The sequence below is a fragment of the Homo sapiens genome, chromosome X, assembly GCF_000001405.40.
Source record: "Homo sapiens chromosome X, GRCh38.p14 Primary Assembly".
Lineage (NCBI taxonomy): Eukaryota > Metazoa > Chordata > Mammalia > Primates > Hominidae > Homo > Homo sapiens.
The window spans coordinates 103,606,122-103,628,709 of record NC_000023.11 but is presented as its reverse complement, the minus strand read 5'-3'; the positions used below and the strand labels follow the sequence as shown (position 1 = coordinate 103,628,709).

Genomic DNA, 22,588 nt, shown 5'->3' with positions numbered 1-22,588 from the left:
TCCCCTAGTACCACCTCTTTCTCCCCTCCTCCCTTCCTTAGCCACCAAGGCCCCTTATTTCCCCTGCAGTTCAGATCCTGCACTGACGTTTGACTGTTCACCTTCATAAATCAGTATTATATCCTTATATCCCAACACTCTCAGTTTTAATCCACATCCGTATCTCCATCATGTCCATTTAGGCTCATTCAGCATGTTTCATCTCTTGTCACTTTCATGGGAGACAATCTTTCACTTTTTCTTGACATCACATTTTGTTTTTTTGAGCCCCCAGATCTAAATTGGTAATCATTCAGTTCGAGACCTGTAGAAAGAGTTGAGTTTGTAAAGTTTGTAGATCTAAAAAGAATGAATACTTTGATTTTCATAAATCAAATACGTATTTGTCCATCTAAGTACAAACAGTCCAGAACACTTATTATCTGAAATGGGATAGTCCTTGGTGGAGAGCTTGGCATTATTCTCTCTATGTGTGTATATATATACACACATATATATGCGTGTATATATATACACGCATATATATGCATGTATACACACTGAATAGATTATAAAATATATTTATATACATGTGTACATATATATAAATTATTCAGTAGTTATTCATAATAGAATAAATAGATTTTACTGGGACTCTCAATCCTTAACCAGCCACCTCTTGGTGCTTCTGGTTGAGGAAGTTTATATTAATTCACTAAATCAACAAATATTTGAGTTCTGGGACTGCTGGACCCCAAAAGATAGATGCAGCAGGGAGGGCATTCCATATTAAACTATGCAATAATTCTGTTGACCACATACTGAATAGCAGGACTACAATTATGCTAGCATTTTCAATTGTCATTGCAATATGTATTTTTTTTTATCTAACAGTATTTTATGATCTTTAACCTTATGCCTGCCTCTCATCTACTCACATCAGCCTGGATGCTACTTTCTTATGCAGATGCTCTTTCCCCTACAGAGCATACTACTTCCCTTCCCTCTGTGTTTTACACTTTCAGGGTAGATGACCATCTGATCTGTGAGGATCCTGGGATTTTGTTTTAAAGCCAGGCTGTTTAGTAAGTTTCTGAACAGAAATTCATGTGAAATTTCCCCTTTTAAGAACTGTTTGTTGCTTTTCTCTGATATCTGATTAACTTTGTGTTGAGATAGCATTTAGACAAATATTAGTTTACCTTCATATCTTTTTTATAACTGTTTTACTTTCCAATTTCTCTGTGAGATGTGTCTTTAAAACCAAGTTTCACTATGCCTTCTTATTTTTTCATCAAGGGTTGGTTTCTCATTTGTATAGTTTCTTTCCTAGAGAAGTCCCATTTCATTCATTTCTATCCTTATTCTTCTTAAATCCTGTGATGGAGAACTCACTGCCTTATAAGATATCTCACTGAAATCTCAGAAAGTTCTAATCATTCAGAGTTTTAAAATTAATTAATTAATTGATTTTTGCTTCTGTTGAGTTAAAATCTGCCTCCCAGTAGTTTACACACATTGGTCCTGGCTCTGCCCTGTGGAGTGGTACAGAACAGGTATAAAATAATAAAAGTACCTTTCATCCTTGACAGCTTAAAATTGCCACAGCTTCTATTCTGGTTCTTTCCCCTTCCATTCTGTGAGACACACTAGGCAATCTACTCAATCTTCTGTGACTCAGCTTCCTCATCTACAACATTGGAGACAATAATAGTACCTACCTCATAGAATTGTAAGAGGAATAACTGAGTCAATGAGTCAACCTATGTAAAGGATCTGGAATAGAGCCTAGCACATAGAAAGCACTCTATAAGCATTAACTATAATAATAGTAATAATAATAGTATGACACAGTGCTAACAATACTACTAATTAACATCCTTTTAATATTAAGATTAATTGTGTACTTTATGCCAGGCATTGCACTAAGTATTTTCAATATGCCATCTCACATAATCCTTAAAGAATTATGTTCTCACCAAGACTTTTTTGGGGGGTTTAACCTCCCCAGTTATTTCAGCCATTTCTGATGTGACATATTTTTTCAAAGTCATTCATTATTCTACACATTCCTGAATGTGTAAATGTCTCTGAAAACACTGAATATACTGCCTAGTGCAGAATGGAGTGATCTTACCACCTCCTTCATTTTAGAATAGGTGCTATACATCTATGGATGCATCCTAAAATTATAGTAGATTTTGTGAATGCCATATCACACAATTGAATCCAGTTTAAGTTGCAGTCAACTAGACCCCTCCCTTATTTCATACTTCAAGCTGTTAATCCACTTCTGTAAATCTTTTTAGTTTTAACTCAAGTATAGAAGCTTCTAATTTTTTCTGGGTTAAATTTTGTCTCATTAGATTCACTCCCTCAATCTTTGAATCCAGATTCTATCATTCTGTATATTAGCTGCAAATCATTAATTTAAAGCATGCCACTAGTACTAAATAGGGTGATAAAGTCAGCAAACTCGGGAAAGATCTATAGGTATCTCAGCAGAGAGTTCTGACTCCAAGTGAAAAAAATTTCTTTTCCTTATTGCATGTGAAACCAGGAGTATGCCCTGCCGAGCTAGTTCCCTTCCTCTCATCTCTCATGTGGCTTCTCAGATTGCTTGCTTTCTAGTGCTGCTAATAGAAGACACTATAGTCCCTGAAAGCTCCTGCACCGGTATAAATTAAACTTTGATGAGAACTTAGTAAATATGGAGGGCAGATAAGGAGGTGTGAGGAAATAGAAGCAGGAGAGGAGGAATGAAGACCGAGTCTCCATGTGGGCTCTAAGTCTGCCCAGCAGTAGCTGATCTCGGGTTCCCTTAAGAGAAAGGACTCTCAAGAGGGAATAAGGTAAAGGTGATTCTGCTACCAAATGACAATCATTTGTTACAAAGAAGTGTGATCTGCTACTTGTTTGTGTAGGGTTGGGGTTGGGGTGGGGCTGTCCTTCTGATGGATTTGATTTGATACCCTTGATTTAGGGTCCTATGAGGGTATATTGCTTGGTCCATTATTACTAATGAGTGTTTGTTTTGAAACCCATTTCAAAAGTGTGACAACTGAGCTCTGGGAGGTGACAAATTGTTCCCATGGAAACACAGATGATAGTAAGTAGCTGAGATGGGATTTAAAACCTAAGGCTAGGTGCAGTGGCTCACGCCTGTAATCCCAACACTTTGGGAGGCCATGATGGGAGAATAGCTTGAGCCCAGGAATTCAAGACCAGCCTGGGTAACATAGTGAGATCCTGTCTCTAGAAACGATAAAAATTAGCCAGGCATGGTGGTGCACACCTGCGGTCCCAGGTGGTCCAGTTCCTTGGGAGGCCGAGGTTAGAGGCCTGGGAACTCAAGGCTTCAGTGAGCCGTGATTGTGCCACTGTACTCCAGCCTGGCCAATAAGAGATTCCATCTGAAAACAAAAGAAAACAAAAAAAACAAAACATAGGCAGTGTGGCATGAGAGATTGTACCTTTAACCACTATGTAAAACTGCTCCTGGGCAGTGGGCTCCACCCACATTTACACACAGCACTGGGCAGCTGCTGCCATGACAACAGTCTCCAAGTGGTGTGGCCTTTCTCTGGGGGATCTGAGAAAGCCCAGGGTGGGTTTCTCCTCCAGGGATTCCTGTTGCTGGGGAGGCTGCACTTCTGTGGCAGGAACAGAACCCTCCTTCTTTGCGAGTCCCCTTGGTTTCACTTTGCAGGCTCTGTCTGCCTGGACTTGAGGAGTTCTGCCCTCTCCAGCCCAGACGTTCCCTCTGTGGCTGCTGCCTCTGCATTCTTTCCTAATGGCACTAATGGCAGTACCTGCTCTCAGACCTGGACCTGTTGACTGCAGCAGGCCCTGTCCAGCCTGTGACTCTCATGGGCTCCTCCCCTACCCCTGCCCCAGGGGAAATTCCCAAGTAGGAAAAGCAATGACAGGAGCCTCCTCTTTTCTGTTTCTGCTTGTGGCCTCATCCTAACTGGGGCTCAAACACACACACGCACACACGCACACACACACACACACACACACACACACACACACACCCTGTATATGCTCAGAGAAACAAGGAAGGGGCTCTGAGGAAAGGCTAAGTAGCAACTCAGGCTGTTGGAAATGCACAGGGACAGGGAAGGTGGGTCCAGACCTGGGCTGAAGAGAGACAGTACTAGGCTTGGGTCTGGGCAAGACTTATGCTGTCATTCACTCCCTGGAGGCTCTGGAGGTGTGGCAGCCTCCTACCCCTCTCCTTGCCTCTATTTGTATCATTTTTCTCCCTAAATGGTGGGGGCGAGGGCTGTGGTAGAACCATGAATGAGGTCCCTTCTAGCTCTAGGAAGCAATGATTCCATACTGCCCACCATACTGAGGTGGGAGGGCCTTTGCTTACGAACACGATTTGGCCTGAGTGGGGACCACCTGCGGACTGTGGCTGCTGCTGCATTTCCCAGAATCCAGACAAGCTCAGAGCACATAACTCATTCTATTTTGGCCTTCCCTGCTGGGCTGCAACAGAGCCACAGCTTAGCCTTGGCCTTTCAGGGACTTTTACAAGCACCCAGAACAACCTCAGCCTGAGGCCTGGGAAGGAGGCTGGGACAGAGGCAGGGCTGGCTCCATAATTTGCAGGGCCCAGTGTAAAAGACAATGCAAGGCCTCTATTCAAAAAGCAAGAAAAAAAAGTACCATTTTAGGTAATAAAATATAAAGCGTTTTTTTCTCCTGTTGCCTTTTTTTTAACGTCGTGTTTTTTTATTTTAAAAATATAATTCTTTTTTTTAGAATAGTTTTAGATTTACCAAAAAATCTAGAAAATAATACAGTGTCTATATATCCCAAACCCTGTTTCCTCTATTTTTAACATCTTACATTACTATGGTGCATTTGTTATAATTAACAAACCAATATTGAGACATTGTCTTTAACTAAAGCCCATACTTTATTCCCATTTTCTTCATTTTTACCTGATATCCTTTTTTTCTGTTCCAGGATGCCATCTAGAATACTATATCACTTTTAGTTGGTAAGCTGTCTTAGGCTTTTCTTGGCTGTGATCTTAACTGGAATTACACTGAATAAATGGATCAATCTGAGGAGAATTGCCACTTTCACAATACTGAGTCTTCTGATACGTGAACATGGTATTATACTTCATTTATTTAGGTCTTCCATAATTACTCTCAGTAATGTATTATAATTTTCAATATAAAATCTCCACATATTTAATAAACTTTATTTCTAATTATTTCATGCTTTTTGATGCCTTTGCAAGTGGTACTTTAAATTTTTTGTCTTCTAATTGTTTATTTCTAGTATATAAAATATATACTTGATTTTTGTATATTGACCTTTTATCTTTAGATCATGCTAAATTCACTTAGTAATTCCAATAACTTTTTGTAGATTCTTAAGGCATTCTATGTACATGATCATGATTCTTCTATGAATACATTTTTACTTCTTCCTTTCCTATCTGCATTTCTTTTTTTTTCTTTCTTTTTTTTTTTTTTTTTTTTTGAGATGGAGTTTCGCTCTTGTTGCCCAGGCTGGAGTGCAATGGCACGATCTCAGCTCACTGCAACCTCTGCCTCCCGGGCTCAAGTGATTCTCCTGCCTCAGCCTCCCGAGTAGCTGGGATTACAGGCACGCATGACCACGCACAACTATTTTTTGTATTTTTAGTAGAGATGGGGTTTTACCATGTTGACCAGGCTGGTCTCAAACTCCTGACCTCAGGTGATCCTTCGGCATTGTCCTCCCAAAGTGCTGGTATTACAGGCGTGAGCCACCGTGCCTGGCCTCTACATACCTTTTCTCCTTGCCTTATTGCACTAACTAGGATTTCCAGTACATAGTTGAATAACAGTGGTGAGAACTGACATCCTTGCATGATCCCCTATCATAAGAGGAAATCATTCTTTCACTATTAAGTGTTATGTCAGCTGTGATTTTTTTTTTAATAGATACCCTATTTCAGGTTAAGGAAGTTCCTTTCTAATTGTTTCCTGAGAGATTTTATTGACTTTTATCAAATGCTGTTTCTGTATCTATTGAGGTGGTCATATTTTTCTCCTTATTTTGTTAATATGTTTAATTAAATTGACTTCCAAGTACTTGACCAACTTTGCATTTTTGTGATAAACCTCACTTGGTCATGATAAATATATATATACTTTTTATTTATTGCTGGATTCAAATTCCCAAAATTTTGTTAAGAATTTTTGCATCTATAAACATAATGTCTATAGTTTTCTTGTAATGTTTTTGTATTGGCATCAGGGTAATTCAGGCCTCATTATGTAGAGAGGAGGCCTTTTCCTTTACTTTCTGAGAGTTTGTTTAACATTTGTGTTATTTCAGCTTTAAATGTTTGATAGAATTCACTAGTGAAGACATCTGGGTCTGGAGTTTTCTTGGAAAGTTTTTAATAACAAATTAATTTTATTCTACAGATATAGACAGTGGTAGGGCCGGGCGCCGTGGCTCACGCCTGTAATCCCAGCACTCTGGGAGGCGGAGGCGGGCGGATCACGAGGTCAGGAGATCCAGACCATCCTGCCTAACATGGTGAAACCCCGTCTCTACTAAAAATACAAAAAAATTAGCGGGGCGTGGTGGCGGGCGCCTGTAATCCCAGCTACTCAGGAGGCTGAGGCAGGAGAATGACGTGAACCCGGGGGGCGGAGCTTGCAGTGAGCCGAGATCGTGCCACTGCACTCCAGCCTGGGCGAGAGTGTGAGACTCCGTCTCAAAAAAAAAAAAAAAAAGATATAGACAGTTGTATACTGGAACTGGCCTGTGCCAGCTATTGAGAGCTGATTGTCACTATCTCTTATCAAATCTACATTCAGTGATGATACATTGATTGATTAAAATTGGCCATGGTTTACACTTTAGAAGTCAGATACTCTATGAATCAGGGTTTTTAATTTCTTTCAGAGACCTGGTGGTTAAACACCACTCTTCTGTTCAGGTTTTCTATTTATTTTTTGAGTGAGCTTGGTAATTTGTATCTTTCAAGAAATTTGACCATTTTATCTACATTATTGCATTTATTGGCATAAAGTTATTCATAATACTACCATACTGTCCCTTACGTTCTTAGAGGATCTGTAATAATGACCCCTTTTCATTCTTTTTTTTTTTAAAAAAAACAGTTTTATTAAGTTGTTGTTCACATGACATAGAGTTCACCCATTGAAAGTGTACAGTTCAGTGGCTTTTAGTATATTAAGAGATATGTGTAACCATCACTACAATCAATTTTAGAACATTTTCATCACCTCATAAAGAAAGTTTATACCCTTTGGTTAAGACTCTCTACCCTCCATCCTCCCCAACCCTAGCCAACCATTAATCTACTCCTTGTCTCTATGGAATTGCCTATTCTCTGTATTTCATATAAATGGAATCATGCAATATATGGTCTTTTGTGATTGGCTTCTTTCACTTAGCATAATGTTTTCAAGGCCCATCCATATTGTAGCATGTATCAAAACTTTATTTTTAATGACCAAATAGTTTTCCATCATCTAAATATACCACATTTTGTTTATGCATTCATCAGTTGATAGACATTTAGATTCTTTTCACCTTTTGGCTATTATGAATAATGCTGCTATAAACATTCATGTAAGTTTTTGTGTGGACATGTATTTGTGGGTTTTTTTTCTCTTGGGTATGTAACTAGGTCTGGAATTGCTGGGTCATATGATTACTCCGTGTTTAACATTTTGAGGAACTGTCATTTTACATTTCCACCAGCAGCGTATGAGGGTTTCCATTTCTCCTCATCCTCACCAATACTTGTTATTATTTGGATTGTTTATTTCTGGTAAATTACAAGTCTGATGAAGTGCTCTGTGAGGGTAGAGCATTATAAGGGATTAGTGCTCTTATAAGGAGGCCTGAGGGAACTTATTTGCCCCTTCTACCATGTGAGTACACAGCTAGAAGGTGCTATCTGTGAACCAGAGATTCAGCCCTAATCAGGCACCAAATCTGCTGGCACCATGTTCTTGAACTTCCAGCCTCCAGAGCTGTGAGAAATAAAATTCTGTTGTTTATAAGCTACCCAGTGTATGGTATTTTGTTATAGCAGCCTGAATGGACTAAGACAGAGGTTGTTTTACTTCTTCCTTTCCAATCTGGATGTCTTTTCTTTCTTTTTTTTGGTCTAACCTCCGCGGCTAGAACCTCTAGTGCAAAGTTGAATGGAAGTGGAGAGAACAGACATTCTTGTCTTGTTCCTGATCTTAAGGGGAAAGCATCCAGTCTTTCATCATTAAGTATGTTGTTAACTGTGTCTTTTTCATATATACCCTTTGTCAGGTTAAGGAATTTTGCTTGTATTCCTCATTTGTTGTGTGTTTTTATCATGAAATGATGTTGAATTTTGTTGAACATTTTTTTCTTCATCTTTTGAGATCATCATGTAGTTTTTGTGCTTTATTCTATTCATATGGTGTATTACATTGATCGATTTTTGAATGTTAAATCAACTTTGCATTCCTGGGATAAACCTCACTTGGTCATATTGTATAATTCTTTCTATATGATGCTGGATTTGTTTGAAATATTTTTTGAGGATTTTTGCATCCTCAAAAAAATCTACAGCATAAGAGATATTGCCTTGTAGTTTTCATGTGGTGTCTTTGTATAGTTTTGGTAACAGAGTAACACTGGCCTCATATAATGAGTGGAGAAATGTTCTCTCCTCTTCTTTTTTTGTAAAAGTTTGTGAAAAGCGAATATTAATTTTTATTTACATGTTTGGTAGAATTCACCAATGAAGCCATCTTGGCCTGGATGTTCCTTCATTGGTAGTTCATTCTCTTTATTTGTTATAGGTCTATTCAGATTCTGTATTTATCCAGGAGTCAGTTTTGGTAGTGTCTTTCTAGGAATCCATTTATTTAATCTAAGTTATGTAATTTATTGGCATACAGTTATTCATAGTGTTCCTCCATAATCCTCTTATTTCTGTAAAGTCAATAGTAATGTACCCTCTTTCGTTTTTGACTCTAGTTGTTTGAGTCTTCTCTTTTTTTTTCCAGGCTAATCAATTTAAATGTTTGTTCATTTTGTTGATCCTTACAGAGAACCAGCTTTTGTTTTTATTGACTTTTCCTATTATTTTTCTATTCTTTATTTTATTAATTTCCACTCTAGTTTTTATTATTCCCTTCCTTCTGCTTGCTTTAGGTTTAGTTTGCTCTTCTTTTTCAGTGTCTTAAGGTGGAAGGTTAGGTTATTGATATGAGATCTTTCTTCCTTTTTTTTCTTGAAGATAGAGCCTTGTTACGTTACCCAGGCTGGTCTCAAACTCCTGGGCTCAGGTTATCCTCTCACCTCAGCCTCCCAAGTAGCTGGGACTACTGACACATGTCACTGTGCCCAGCCTTCTTTTTTACTGTAGGCATTTACAGCTATAAATGTCTTTCTAAGCATTGGTTTAGACGCATGCTGTAAGGTTTGGTATTTTGTATCTTCATTTTCATTAGTCTTAACATATTTTCTAATTTTCCTCTTTATTTTATCTTTGATCCGTTAGTGATTTAGGAGTGTGTTGTTTAATTTCCACATATTTGTGAGTTTCCCAAATTTATTTCTGTTATTGTTTTTTACTTTCATTCTATGCTAGGGGAAATACTTAGAATTATCTCTAATCTTTCAAATTTATTGTGGTTTGTTTTATTGCCTAGCATATGGTCTATTCTGGAGTATGTCCCATGTGCATTTGAGAAGAATGTATATTCTTTTGTTGGGTGGAATGTTCCATATATGTCTGTTTGGTCTAGTTGGTTTATAGTGTTGTTCAAGTCTTCTATTTCCTTGTTGATCTTCTGCCTAGTTCTTCTATCCATTATTAAAAGTTGAAAGTCCCCAACTATCCCAACTATTATTGTTGAGTGGTCTATTTATCTCTTCATTTCTGTAAATTGCTTCAGGTATTCTGGTGTGGTTTTTTTCCTTTGTTTTTGTTTTGTTTTGTTTTTTCTTTAGACAGAGTTTTGCTTTTATTGCACAGGCTGGAGTGTAACAGCACAATCTTGGCTCACTGCAACCTCCACCTCCCAGGTTCAAGTGATTCTCCTCCCTCAGCCTCCCAAGTAGCTGGGATTACAGGTGTGTGCCACCACACTCGGCTAATTTTTGTATTTTTAGTAGAGATGGGGTTTCACCATGTTGGTCAGGCTGGTCTCAAACTCCTGACCTCAGGTGATCCACCCACCTCGGCCTCCCAAAGTGCTGGAATTACAGGTGTGAGCCACTGTGCCCAGCCCTCTGGTGCTCTTTTGTTAGGTGCATATATGTTTATAATTGTTATATCTGCCTGATGGATTAACCCTTTTATCATTATACAATGTCCTTCTTTATCTCTACTAACACTTTTTTTTTTCTTAAACTCTGTTTTGTCTAATATTACTGTGGCCACTCCAGAAAGCTGGCTATAGTAAAATCAGACAAAATGATGTATCTTTTTTCATCCTTTTACTTTCAGTCTATTGTATCTTTGAATCTGAAGTTTGTCTGCTATAGACAGCAAATGGTTTGATCTTGGTTTTTTAATTTCCATTTTAACAACTGTCTTTTATTGGATAGTTTAACCCATTCAGACTTAATGTTATTATTGATTTAGTTGGATTTATACCTGCCATTTTACTTTTTGTTTTCTGTAGGTCTCCTGTCTTCCTCGAATCTTCCTTTACCACTTTCTTTTGCATTAACTGAATATTCTCTAATATAGCGTTTTAATTTTTAAAATGATTTTTAAACCATATTTTTTAGTTATTTCCTTAGTGGTTGCTCTAGACTTACCATATACATATTAGCTTATCAGAATCAGCTTCAGATTTATACTAACTTAATTCCAGTGAGATATAGAAATGTTATTTCTATATCATTCTATTTCCTTCTCCATTTTTGTCATATTATTGTTATGTATGTTACAACTATACATCTGACAAACTCAACAATACATTATTATAATTATTGCTTTATATGAACTTATGTATTTTAAAGAAGCTGAGAGAAGAGAGGAGAACGAGTATATGTTAATAGGTTTTGACCTTCTTAGATATCATTTTTAGATCTCTTCAGTTGGTTCCTATGGATTTCTTGTTGGGAGTAATTCCTTTGCTAATGTAATACTTAATGGTGTTCCACATTTCTCTGAGGCACTGTACATTTGTATTTAGTCTTTTCTTCTCTTGGTTATTCAGATTGCATAATTTCTATCAATTTACCTTCAAGTTTACTGATTCTTTTGGCAGTTCAAGTGTAATACTGAATTTTTCATTTTAGTTATTGTACTTTTGAATCCCAGAATTTCAATTTGTTTTAAAAATAATTTCTATGTCTTTGATATTTTATATTTGATGCAACATCATCATATCTTTCTTTACTTCTTTAATCATGGTTTCTTGTAGTTCTGTGAACATATTAATAATAGCTACTTTGAAGTCTTTGTTCAAACTGACATCTGGCCACTCTCACAAGGAGCTCCTAGTGTCTGCCTTTTTCTGGTATATGGGTTATACTTTCCTGTTTCCCTGCAAATCTCATAATTTTTTGTTGAAAACTGAGCATTTTGGATAATATATTGTAGCACCTCTGGGTACTATTTTCCTCTTCCCCATCTGGAGCTTTTTACTGATATTTGCATATTTATTTATTTAGTGATTAGCTAGATTATTTTAGTAAACTCTGTGCTTGCACAATGTGAAGCCTGTTATGTTGCTCACCAGAAGGCTCAGCCTTGGTTGTGCCCACAGTCACCTTTGGCAGGGCTTTCCTTGACTGTTTTTTTCCCTGACCATACCCAGCTGTTTAGCTCCACTAATTACCTGCTGATTGCCCTATTGTTTTCAACAATGCCCTGGGGCATAAATGATTCCACAGACAGATTTGTTCTAATCCCAGTGGGTCTCCTCCCAGCTTTCTCTGTCCCAGGTTGTCTCCAGCAAACTAGTGGGCCTACAGCTTAGTCTGCATCTCCAATGAATCTACCAATGTCCTCTCAATTGCCTTTCACCACGTGTGGTGTTTTCTGGCACTATTTCTGACATCAAATGTGTGGTGTTTTCTAACACCTACCAATTCTCTGATTCTCTGGCACCAACTGGGTGTCCTACAATTCAATTTAATTCTGATATTAATTCCTCAGAGTTAGTGCAGACCCTACAGTTTAAGGGCTTTTAAGTATAAGACTGCCCTCCACTTCAGATGGCAGCTGCAAATGGGGTGCCCAACCTACCCACACTTCAGCCTGGGCTAGTACAAATTTGAGGGTTCTGTAAACCAAAAAGTGACTGAGGCAGATCTCAATTGATTAGAGGTTTATTTTGCCAAGGTTGAGGACACACCTAGGAAAATGAAACACAAGTCACAGTAGGATTGGTGACCTGTGGTTTTCCCACAGAGGGCTTTGGGAACTTCAGTATTTAAAGGAGAAAGAGCAAGCAAGAGGGGAAGAAAAAAAAGGAGGATGGGTAGGCAATGAGGCAAGTGGTTACATTCTTGTGAGGCTCTGATTAGCACTCAGTGAATCTACATTTTACATGTAAAAAGAAAGGAGTAGAGGAAAAGTCAATTATGCATTCATCTCATGCTCAGTACATCTACATTTTACATAAGATAAAGTAAGCATGTGAAATTACAGCTATTTGGGAACAAATGGAAGGCAGTTTTTGGATGACTCAGTTCCCAAGCTTAATTTCCCTTTTGCCATAGTGAGTTTGGGGTCCTGAGAGTCTATTTTTTATTCACAGTTCTCATGACTCCCTTCTTGAGTTCAGTAATTTACTGGAATGACTCACAGAACTTAGAAAAGTGCTTTGCTTACTATTACCAGTTTATTGTAAAGGATACAACTCAGGAAGAGCCTAATGGAAGACATGCATAAGGTAAGATATGGGGTATATTTGGCACAGAGCTTCCATGCCTTTTCTGGGTGCTCCATCTGATCAGTACATCAATGTATTCCCAACCCAGAAGCTCCCGAGCCCCATCATTTAGGGATTTTAATGGAGGTTTTATCGTATAGGAATGATTTATGTAATCATTGGCCACTGGTAATTGAACTCAATTTTTATCCCCTCTCCAATCCCTGGAGGTCAGGAGCAAGGCAGAAAGTTCCCATCCTGTAATCATGTATTTGGTCTTTCTGGTGTCCAGTCCCCATCCTGAAGCTATCTAGGGGTCTTACCCTAAGTCACCTCATTAGCATAAATTCAGGAGTAGTCAAAAGGGGCTCATTATGAATAACAAAAGACACTCCTATCATTCAGAAAATCCCAAAGGTTTTAGGAGCTCTGTGCCAGGAACTGGGGACATTGACCAAATATATACTGTAATATATATTTTAATATATCATGCACCAGAGCCTCCACTGTTTTTGAGAGCTCCCTTGAACTTGGACTTCTCCATATTCTGTTGCAAATGAATTCCTTTCCTTTGGGAAAAAATTTAGAACTCTCCATTTTACATCCTGCTTCCCTCCCTTCCCTCAGGCAAAATCTCTGAGCCATGGCTCTGGTATTTGTAATATGTATCATAGATTATCACAGTCTACCTTCAAATAATATGATAGCTATCTCTCAGTATACTTAGGGGATTGGTTCCAGGACCCACCACTCCCCAGGATATACAAATCTATGTATACCTAGGTGGGTCCTGGAGTTGGCTCTGCAGAACCCATCTTTGTGAAAAGTCAGCCCTCGCTATAGGCAGACTTCACATCCCACAAGTACAGTATTTTCCATCTCAGTTTGGTTGGAAAAATCCACATCAAAAAACACAGGTCAAACCTGTGTTGTTCAAGGGTCAACTGTAAATGATTTCATGGATAATCGAAGAACCCTACAACTGTGCATTCCCCCTCCCATCTTTTTTTCTATTGTTGTACGTATTAGTCAGGGTTCTCTAGAGGGACAGAACTAATAGGATGGATGTATATATAAAGGGGAATTTATTAAGGAGTATTGACTCAGACAGTCACCAGGTGAAGTCCCACAATAGGCCGTCTGCAAGTTGAAGAGCAAGGAAGCCAGTCTGAGTCCCAAAACCTCAAAAGTAGGGAAGCTGACAGTGTAGCCTTTAGTCTGTGATCGAAGGTCCAAGAGTCCAAAAACTGAAGAACTTGGAGTCTGATGTTTGAGGGCAGGAAGCATCCAGCACGGGAGAAAGATGTAGGCCAGAAGACTAAGCCATTCTAGTCTTTCCACGTTCCTCTGCCTACTTTTATCCTAGTCAGGCTAGCAGCTGATTAGATAGTGCCTACCCAGATTGAGGGTGGGTCTTCGTCTCCCAGTTCGGTGACTCAAATGTTAATCTCCTTAGGCAGTACCCTCACAGGCACACCCAGGAACAATATTTTGCATCCTTCAATCCAATCAAGTTGACACTCAGTATTAACCACCACATTGTACATTTTACTTCTACATATGTTACAAGCCATGTAACACATTGTTCTTATTTTTATTGTAGATAATTATTTCTCTTTAACAGCTTTATTGAGATATAATTCATATGCCTTATAATTCACCCATGTAAAGTGCACAATTCAATGGTTTTTAGAATATTTATGGAGGTGGGCAACCATCACCACTATCCAATTTTACATTTTCATCACCCCTAAAGAAAACCTTCCTATTACCATTTTTCATTCCTGCCCTTCTGCAAGCCCCATGCAACCACGAATCTACTTTCTCTATAGATTTGTTGATATGTCCATTTATTATAAATTGGATAATAAACTATGTGGTCTTTTGTGACTGCCTACTTTCACTTAGCATAATGTTTTCAAGGTTCATCCATGCTATGCCATGTATCAGTACTTCTTCCTTTTTATTGCCAAATACATTGTATAATATACCATATTTGTTTATTCACCAGTTCATGGATTTTTTTTCTATATTTTGGCTATTATGAACAATACTGCTATGAACATTTGTGTATACATTTTGCATGACTGTATGTTTTCATTTCTCTTGTGTATATACCTAGGAATGGAATTGCTGGGTCATATGACACATTATGTTTAACATTTTAAAGAATTGCCAATTTGTTATCCCAAGCAAATGCATTCCCATCAGCAATGTATGAGGACTTGTTTCTCCCCATCCTCACCAAAACTTATTTTCTATCTCTTTCGTTTTAGCCATCCTACTGTGTGTGAAGTGGTATCACTTTGTGGTTCTGGTTTACATTCCCTAGTGACTAATACAGTTGAGCTTCTTTTCATATGCCTATTGGACATTTGTATATCTTCTTGGGAGAAATATCTATTCAAATCATTTGCCCATTTTAAAATTGGGTTCTCTTTTTTTTTAATGGTTGAGTTGTAAGAGTTTTTTATATATTCTGGAAATTAGCTCCTTATCAAATGTATTATTTGCAGTTATTTTCTCCCATCTGGTGGATCATCTTTTCATTTTCTCGATGTTATCATTTGAAGCACAAAACGTTTCCATTTTCATGAAGTAGAATGTATCTTTTGTCATATATGATTTTGTTATTGTATCTAAGTAAAATTGCCTAACTCAAGGTCATGAATATTTATGCATATGTTTTCTTCTAAGAGCTGTATAGTTTTAGCTCTTTCATTTATATTTATGATCTGTGTTGAGTTCACTTTGATGTAGGGTGTGACATAATGTTCTAAATTCATTCTTTGGCATGTGGATATCTAATGGTTTCATCACAATTTGTTTAAAAACTATTATCTTCCCTTTGAATTGTCTTGGCAGACTTGTTGAAAATCCATTGAGCATAAAAGTGAGAGTTTACTTCTGGATTCCCAATTCTATTCCATTGATTTATATATCTATCCTTATGGTAGGACCACCCTGTCTTGATTACTATTGCTTTGTGGTAAGTTTTGAAGTTAGAAAGTGTAAGAACTCCATTTGTTATTGTTTTTCAAGATTGTTTTGTCTGTTTTGGGTCATTATAATTTAGGATCACTTTGTTATTATCTGCAAAGAAGCCAGGGGAGATTTTGATAGTGATTGCCTTAAGTCTGTAAATCAATTAGGGAATATTGCCATCTGAACAATGTTAAGTCTTTCAATCAATGAACATTGAATTTATTTCCATTTATTTAGGTTGTCTTTAGTTTCTTTTGACAACATTTTGTACTTTTCCATATACAAGTCTGGCATTTGTTTTGTTAAATTTATTCCCAAGATTGTTTTTCTTTTTGATACCATTGTAAATGGAATCATTTTCTTAAGTTCATTTCAGATTGTTAATTTCTACTATAAAGAAATACAATTGATTTTGTATATTGATATTACATCTTGCTACATTGTACTTGTGTATTATTTCTCATAGTTTAAATAATTATTGTTAATTGACAATTTATAATTGTATATATTTATAGGGCACAAAGTAATGTAATCGACATTCCTTCTGGAAATGATACCATATTAGGGTCTCAGCAATGGCCTCTGCTGTTGGCAGGTTTCATACTCAGCTATGAGAGTAGTCAGATCAGGTTGGTATGGGAAGTCAATATTGTTGAGCTCTCACATAGTTCTATTTCTGTTTCTGTGGCCACTTTGTACAAGGGCCCATTGAGCAAACATTGGGATAGCAGTGGCAGGGGAATGGGGAGGCTGAATGATATCTACAGAGATGGTCATTTTTTCCTCCCAATTATTGATAGTTGCCTCTGCAGTGGATGCCCCCAGTGGGTACACTCACTACCTGAATAAACAGATATGGACTATTTAGAAGGGAATGTGGCCTGGTAGTCTTTAGATTTCAAGACCCTCCCAAAAGGTAAAAACAGGCAGAACCTTGGTTAGGGCATCCACCTTGAGGGAGTCCTGTGCCACTGTTTCTTTGCAGCCATTCTAATCCATGAACAATGTATCTTTCCATTTATTTAAATCTTAATTTCTCTCATCAATGTTTTGTAGTTGTCAATGTACAAATCTAGCACATAGTTTGATTTTTTAAAACATGTTGGTACATATGTGCTTTGTGCCTACTGAATTCAGATAAACATTTCCTTATACTTCCTCCTACTTTTTTATGGTTTATATTTAATGTAATTGAGATCATGCAATGTGTAAAACTTCACTGTACATCAGAATCACCTGGGGAGTTTGTGGAAATTGCAGGTTCTAGAGCCATATTCCTAGAAATTCTGGGTTTGTGCCAGGGACCAGGGAGGTTCCCAGGGAGTCGTTTAACATATTTTGAACGTATTTTGAAAAAAATCATTTTTATACATTGTTAAAATGGTTTATGAGCTGGATTTAGAATTATCACTTCTCCTGTATTATTTATTTTTGAATTTCAAGTTGTATTTTTGACAAGTGAAATTACTTGCCCAAGGATACACTGGGTCAAAAACTCAAGGCTCCTGACTCAGTCATAATCAAGTAATTGTTAAATATATGTGTCAAGTACAGTGCAACGGATATCAGGATGAATTTTTTAAAAGTCTGTTTTGATAAGGGAATATACTGGTGGGCTAAATAAAAATGCCTAAGAGTTTTTAATATTTTTAAGAGCACTGTACCTCTTTCAGTTGCAAGTGGTTTAGAATGGGAAGGGATGTTTCACACAGGGTTATCTCTGTGATTATATATGGATAAGTCCCTTGATTTTGTATAGTAGGCCAGTCAATGAGGCTTTTTAGAGAAAACTCACACTTAGAAAGGTATAAAAATTTAGATAGGGTTCACCTGTGGTACTGGGGTAGGGTGTTTGGTGCAAACACAGTTCATTATCTAGCCAATAGGTTAGACTCAGGACACAGTCCCAAGTAGACCCAAAATGTCTCAAATCCTAAGAAGAGAAATGAAGCTGTAAGCAAATATAAAATGAACTAAAAATGTTAATGGCTACTTTGCTAAGAACTGTGTAATACAGTGGGCTCCAAGAAGCCCTAGAGTAGAACCACCTGCAATTGGGACTGTGGCCCTTTGGGGACTGTAGGGAATCAGAAGGGCTTTGTCACCATGAGTACTCCATTATATCAGTGGCTGTCAGCAGACAGTACATATACAGGGCATAGCAGAACAGAAGTGCCCAGCAGATATGATAGTATCCAGAGAAGGATGGCACCCTCTACTCAGCTGCTTGGAGTTGTTCCTGGGGACAGGTGAAACCTACCTTCAGCTCTTCTTTTAAGTGTCTGACAGGGTGCTGGGTCCTGCTCCTGTAAGGACAGCTCACATGTTCAATACCTCATCTGATCCACTGGGCAGTCCTGTGAGATAAGTATTATCCCCATTTCACAGATGGCAAGACTGACCCTTACAGCAATGGATTTGTTATAACTGCCAGGTTGATACCTCTAGCTGTTAGTCTCAGAGGTAATATGAATTTTACTTATCATTTTATGTTCTGGCAACAGAAATTTTAAGTGTCTTTATTACCCTCATAAGCTCATTGAACAGTTCAATTGTTTATGTATTGTTTTCTCGTTTAGTTTTTAAAATTATTGTTATGACAAAAGGACATATCCTTTAAGAAAAGGTAGAGATGAGTGAGAGCAAAGAAAAGAAAAAGAATCGCATCCTATGGGGGAGCCATAGGATGGTAAAGGACCCAGGAGAAGGGGTAGCAGTGCCCACTCACGTAGTTACACCTAGGGAAGACATGAGGATGGGCACAACAACAGCAGAATGGCATGGAGGTACCTACCCAGCAAGTGATTGAACTCATTTTTGGATACCATTCAGGAATAACCATTGGCTGCTTTTTAGTGTACATGCTTTCAGAGTTTTCTTTGTGCACAAATGCATTATGCAAACATTTACATTTTTATAAAAACGGGCTGATACTGTATATGCGGTTCTGCAAACTTTTTTTAATTTTAATTTTATTTTTTTACAATGTACCATGAACATCTTTTCCATGCACATGGGTGAAAATCCTCTACTAAAATATAGAGCGCCGTAGTTGGGTCAAAAGGCTGCTGGTAACGAGACTGACATCTAAAGCAAAGTATCAGCTTAAGGTTAAAGCATTGGGCCTGGCAAATACCTACCAGGGAAAGCAGGGCCAGCAATATTCTCATCAGAGAAATCAGAATGGAAGGCCAAAGGCATTAAAGGTATGGGATATCGTGTAAGCCCCTCTGGCCCCTACCTCCACCCCTCACTCCCCTGACACCCCGTTGTCCCCTTGGGGCGAATGGATCCTGTACATCTCTTTGCATCCAATGAAAACCACCCATTTTCTGTTTTTTCCTTAGCTCCTCTTGAGCCCTTGACACATCTCCACATTCTCTCATCATCTCCTCACTGCTCAGATGCCTTTCCTGTAAGTCCTCCTGAGAGTCCTTGGGGGAATCGTCCGTCCCCCTGTCCGTTTTTCTTTTTGCTTTCCGGGGCACATAATCTTCAGCCGGGCGCTTTTCGGCGGCCCGCGGCTGGCTCTCTGGCTTTGCCTGGGAGGCTGGCTTGCCCTCGCCTTGTGGCTTGCCCTCACCTTCGGACCTGCCCTGCTTTTCCTGGCTTCCCTCATCTTCCAGTTGTCCCTCATCACCTGGCTCTCCCTCATCCTCTCTCTTTCCCTCGCATTCTGTCTTCCCCTCCACGTCTGGCTTTTCTTCCTCGTCTGACTTTCCTTCATCATCAGGCTCTACTTCATCTTCTGGCTTTCCCTCGTTTTCCAGGTTTCCTTCATTTTTATTGTAGGGTTTTTCCATGTCGAGATTTCCCCTCCTTTTCCTGTCCTGGGGGATGGGAATGGAGGGAAGAGGAGACAAATAAGAGACATGGGAGACTGAGGGCATGGGGTGGAATGCAGGTCTGGATAGTACTTGCATCTCACCCCTGGTGAGGGTTCCCCTAAGCTGGCAGGGCCCCCAAGAGGGCCTTCTGCCCACCACGTAGCCTGCCACTCCTCCCACACACGTGAGCCAGCCATTCCCTGGCAGTCCCTGCCACCTTCTCTGCACTGGTTCAGCCTGGTAAGGTGTGTGTTCATGTGAGTGGGGGATGGGCAGGGGCCCCAGTTCGGCCCTGGCCGGGCCCTCCACACTCTCAACCCTTATAGGGCCCTGTCCATTGAGCTCCCCCACAACCACCTTCACAGACCTGCAGGGATTCTGGACAGGTTGCTCCTCCTTTTTAGGCCTCGCAGAGCGCTGGGAACAGACGCGCAGACCTGCGGACAGACAGGAGACAGGGGTAGGGGCTGCGCAGTCAGCGGTCTCACAGGGACTCGGTTCCCTTTCCTGAGTCCAGGCCCTGCTTACCCAACGTTTTCCTCCCCTACATCCCCCGCACCCCAGCCGCCATTTCTTTCCAGGCCTCGGGCACCAAACCAGGATGCTTTCCAAACTGCGTTTGTCTCTGTGTCCCCTTCCCCTGGAGGCAACCTGTCCCAGCGCCACCCCGTTTTTGCGGAGGTCAGATGTTTCCATGGGAGCAGATTGTGAGAGGCGGTTATTTCCAGAATATGTCTACGTTTCACTGTTGCACTGCGGGGTTGCCCCCCCGTACTCCATTTCCAGTACTAAAATGGATGGACGGCTCAGTGCAGGGGGTCGTCGAGAAGGCGGGCCAGGCTCCCCCGCCCTTGCCTCCGACCGCTCCGCTTCCCCCTCCTCACCAGTCTCCCGGATCCTTTCTCCGCCCCTCCCTACTCCTACTGCCAGCCACCTCCACCCCTTCCGTGGTTCCGCCGGCAGCGCCCACCTTCACACTGACCTGCCGGGACCCGGGACAGGCCTGTGCCTTCTCCGGCTCGCGGAAGCCCGCTCGCTGCTCCCCCGCTGCCCGGGCAGCTCAGACAGCTGGTTCTGCGCGGGCGCCAGGACCGGACCGCAGGGCGGGCGGGCGGGCGCGGGGGCTGGTGCCCACGTAGGCGCCCGGCGGGTCACGTGAGCGCCGCGTCACCCGAGCTCGGCCCCCCTTGCCTGACCCACCTCACCATCCAACCCCGAAGGACCGGGAGGCTGGGGACGGTCGGGGTCGGGGTGTGTTTGTGTAGCAAAGGGGGGTCACGGAGAAGAGGAGGAGGGGGTGGCTTTCTGACCCCAGGTGCTTTACCTGGCGCATCTCACGGCATCCTCGCAGGGTATCTCTCTCTGATGCCATTATCGCCAGGTGTGACAGCTGATCAAAGAGGGTACCCGACTTTGCCAAGAGCGCTCAGCCCCAGAACTCCAGAGCCCGCTTTCAAGACTGTCTCTGCCTGACTCCAGAGCCCAGGGTGGTGCTGCCTGCCAGGAAGCTGAGCTGCCACCTTGAGTGGCAGTGTTCCTAGGGTTCTGTCCTGGGCCTCCTCTCTCCTCAGTCCTCAAGTTCTGTCTCCCTGTTTGATCTCATTCATTTCCAGTAAAGACCAATGACTTCCAGATTTACATCTCCAGGCTATTCCCTCCCCAGAATCTCAGACCTATTTTTGCATTCCCATCAGAAATATAGGGGAGTGTTTTGTTTCCCAATGCCCTTCCCAACATAACCTATGACATACTTTTAAATGTTCACTGATATGATAGTTGAGAAGTAATATCTCAATGGCATTTTATTTTGCCTTATCTGTGTTTAAGGACAATTTAAATATCTTTCTTTGTGAATTGTCGGTTCATGTCTTTTCCACATTTTTCTAGTGGGTTGTTGGTCCTTCTCACCTCAATTTTCAAGTTTTCTTAATACATTAACTGTTATATATGTTGCAATTTTCTCTCCAGTTTGTCAGTTGCTTTTTGGCTTTGTTTATGGTGTTTTTCTGCCATGCATTAAAAAAAGTAGTCAAATTTATTTAACTTTTATTGCCTCTAGATTTCGATTCATAGTTAAGAAATCTTTTCCTACATAAGGTCCAAGAAGCATTCACCCATGTTTTCTTCTAGTATTCATATGGTTTTCTTTACATTTAGAGTTTATATTTGTGTATGGCATAAAGTATTGATGGATCTTTTGTTTTCTTTTTCCAATCGGTTTCTCAGTTGTTCTGGCATCAGAAAGTCCATCTTTGCTTTAGGGATTTGAGATACCACCTTTATTACATATCAAATATCCATATGTACTTGGAAAACCTTCTGGGCTTTTTATTCTATTTCATTGGTCTGTTTGCTATCCATATACCAGTTGAATTATAGAGGATATATAATTTCATATATCTGGTAGAGCTAGGTCCCCTCAGTAGATTCTCTTTTTTCCAACACATTCTTGTATGTTTGTTTTTCTACATGAACTTCAGCATAAATTTGATTCAGATCCGTTTTAATTAACGATTAGATATATCCACCTGAATGTCCCTGAAGGACCTCAAATGCAATATGTCCCAAGTGATTTTACCATCCTTCCTTGATCTTTTCCACACACAAAACTCCCTCCTCTTCATTTCTCTTATCTTAATAGATGGCTCCAGAACCCACACTGTTGCCCAAGCAAGAAATCTGGGAATCATCCCTCATTCCCTCTTCCTCCCTCCCACCAAGTAATCTTGACCTTCTCTTCTAAATATCTGGATTTTCCCACTTTTCTTCCATCTCCACTCTTGCTACATTTTTTTAGGCAAACAACTCCCCACTCCTGGTCTATGGTGGAAGATCCCTTTCTGGTTTTGCTACCTCAAGTCTTGCTCTCCTTAATATATATCATATTGTCCCACTGCCTTTTTCTGTTTCATCTTCATT

General features: G+C 40.0%; 1 protein-coding gene across 2 annotated transcripts, besides 3 other annotated features; it reads right to left on the bottom strand.

Annotated features, from left to right (window-relative positions):
- Positions 41-110: an enhancer, noted in NCBI's record as "active region_29821". NCBI's record gives its function as "activates an Ori minimal core promoter by ATAC-STARR-seq in GM12878 lymphoblastoid cells {active_cell/tissue: GM12878}" and the evidence as "EXISTENCE:reporter gene assay evidence [ECO:0000049][PMID:35858748]".
- TCEAL3 (transcription elongation factor A like 3) lies at positions 18,783-20,747 on the bottom strand. Of its 2 annotated transcripts, none has more exons than NM_001006933.2 (3): positions 20,640-20,747; positions 20,037-20,106; positions 18,783-19,672 (listed from the first exon to the last, which is right to left on the bottom strand). In NM_001006933.2, the coding sequence occupies exon 3, from the start codon at positions 19,643-19,645 to the stop codon at positions 19,043-19,045; it is 603 nt and encodes a 200-aa protein (NP_001006934.1). In that variant the 5' UTR covers positions 19,646-19,672; positions 20,037-20,106; positions 20,640-20,747; the 3' UTR covers positions 18,783-19,042. The 2 variants fall into 2 exon arrangements, with proteins under 2 accessions (NP_001006934.1, NP_116315.1); NM_032926.3 differs by having other exon boundaries at positions 20,652-20,747.
- Positions 20,423-20,592: a silencer, noted in NCBI's record as "silent region_20922". NCBI's record gives its function as "represses an Ori minimal core promoter by ATAC-STARR-seq in GM12878 lymphoblastoid cells {active_cell/tissue: GM12878}" and the evidence as "EXISTENCE:reporter gene assay evidence [ECO:0000049][PMID:35858748]".
- Positions 20,623-20,852: a silencer, noted in NCBI's record as "silent region_20921". NCBI's record gives its function as "represses an Ori minimal core promoter by ATAC-STARR-seq in GM12878 lymphoblastoid cells {active_cell/tissue: GM12878}" and the evidence as "EXISTENCE:reporter gene assay evidence [ECO:0000049][PMID:35858748]".

What these genes read in the sequence shown, in the direction of transcription:
- TCEAL3 (NM_001006933.2), bottom strand. Translation starts at nt 19,645, where the DNA reads ATGGAAAAACCCTACAATAAAAATGAAGGAAACCTGGAAAACGAGGGA.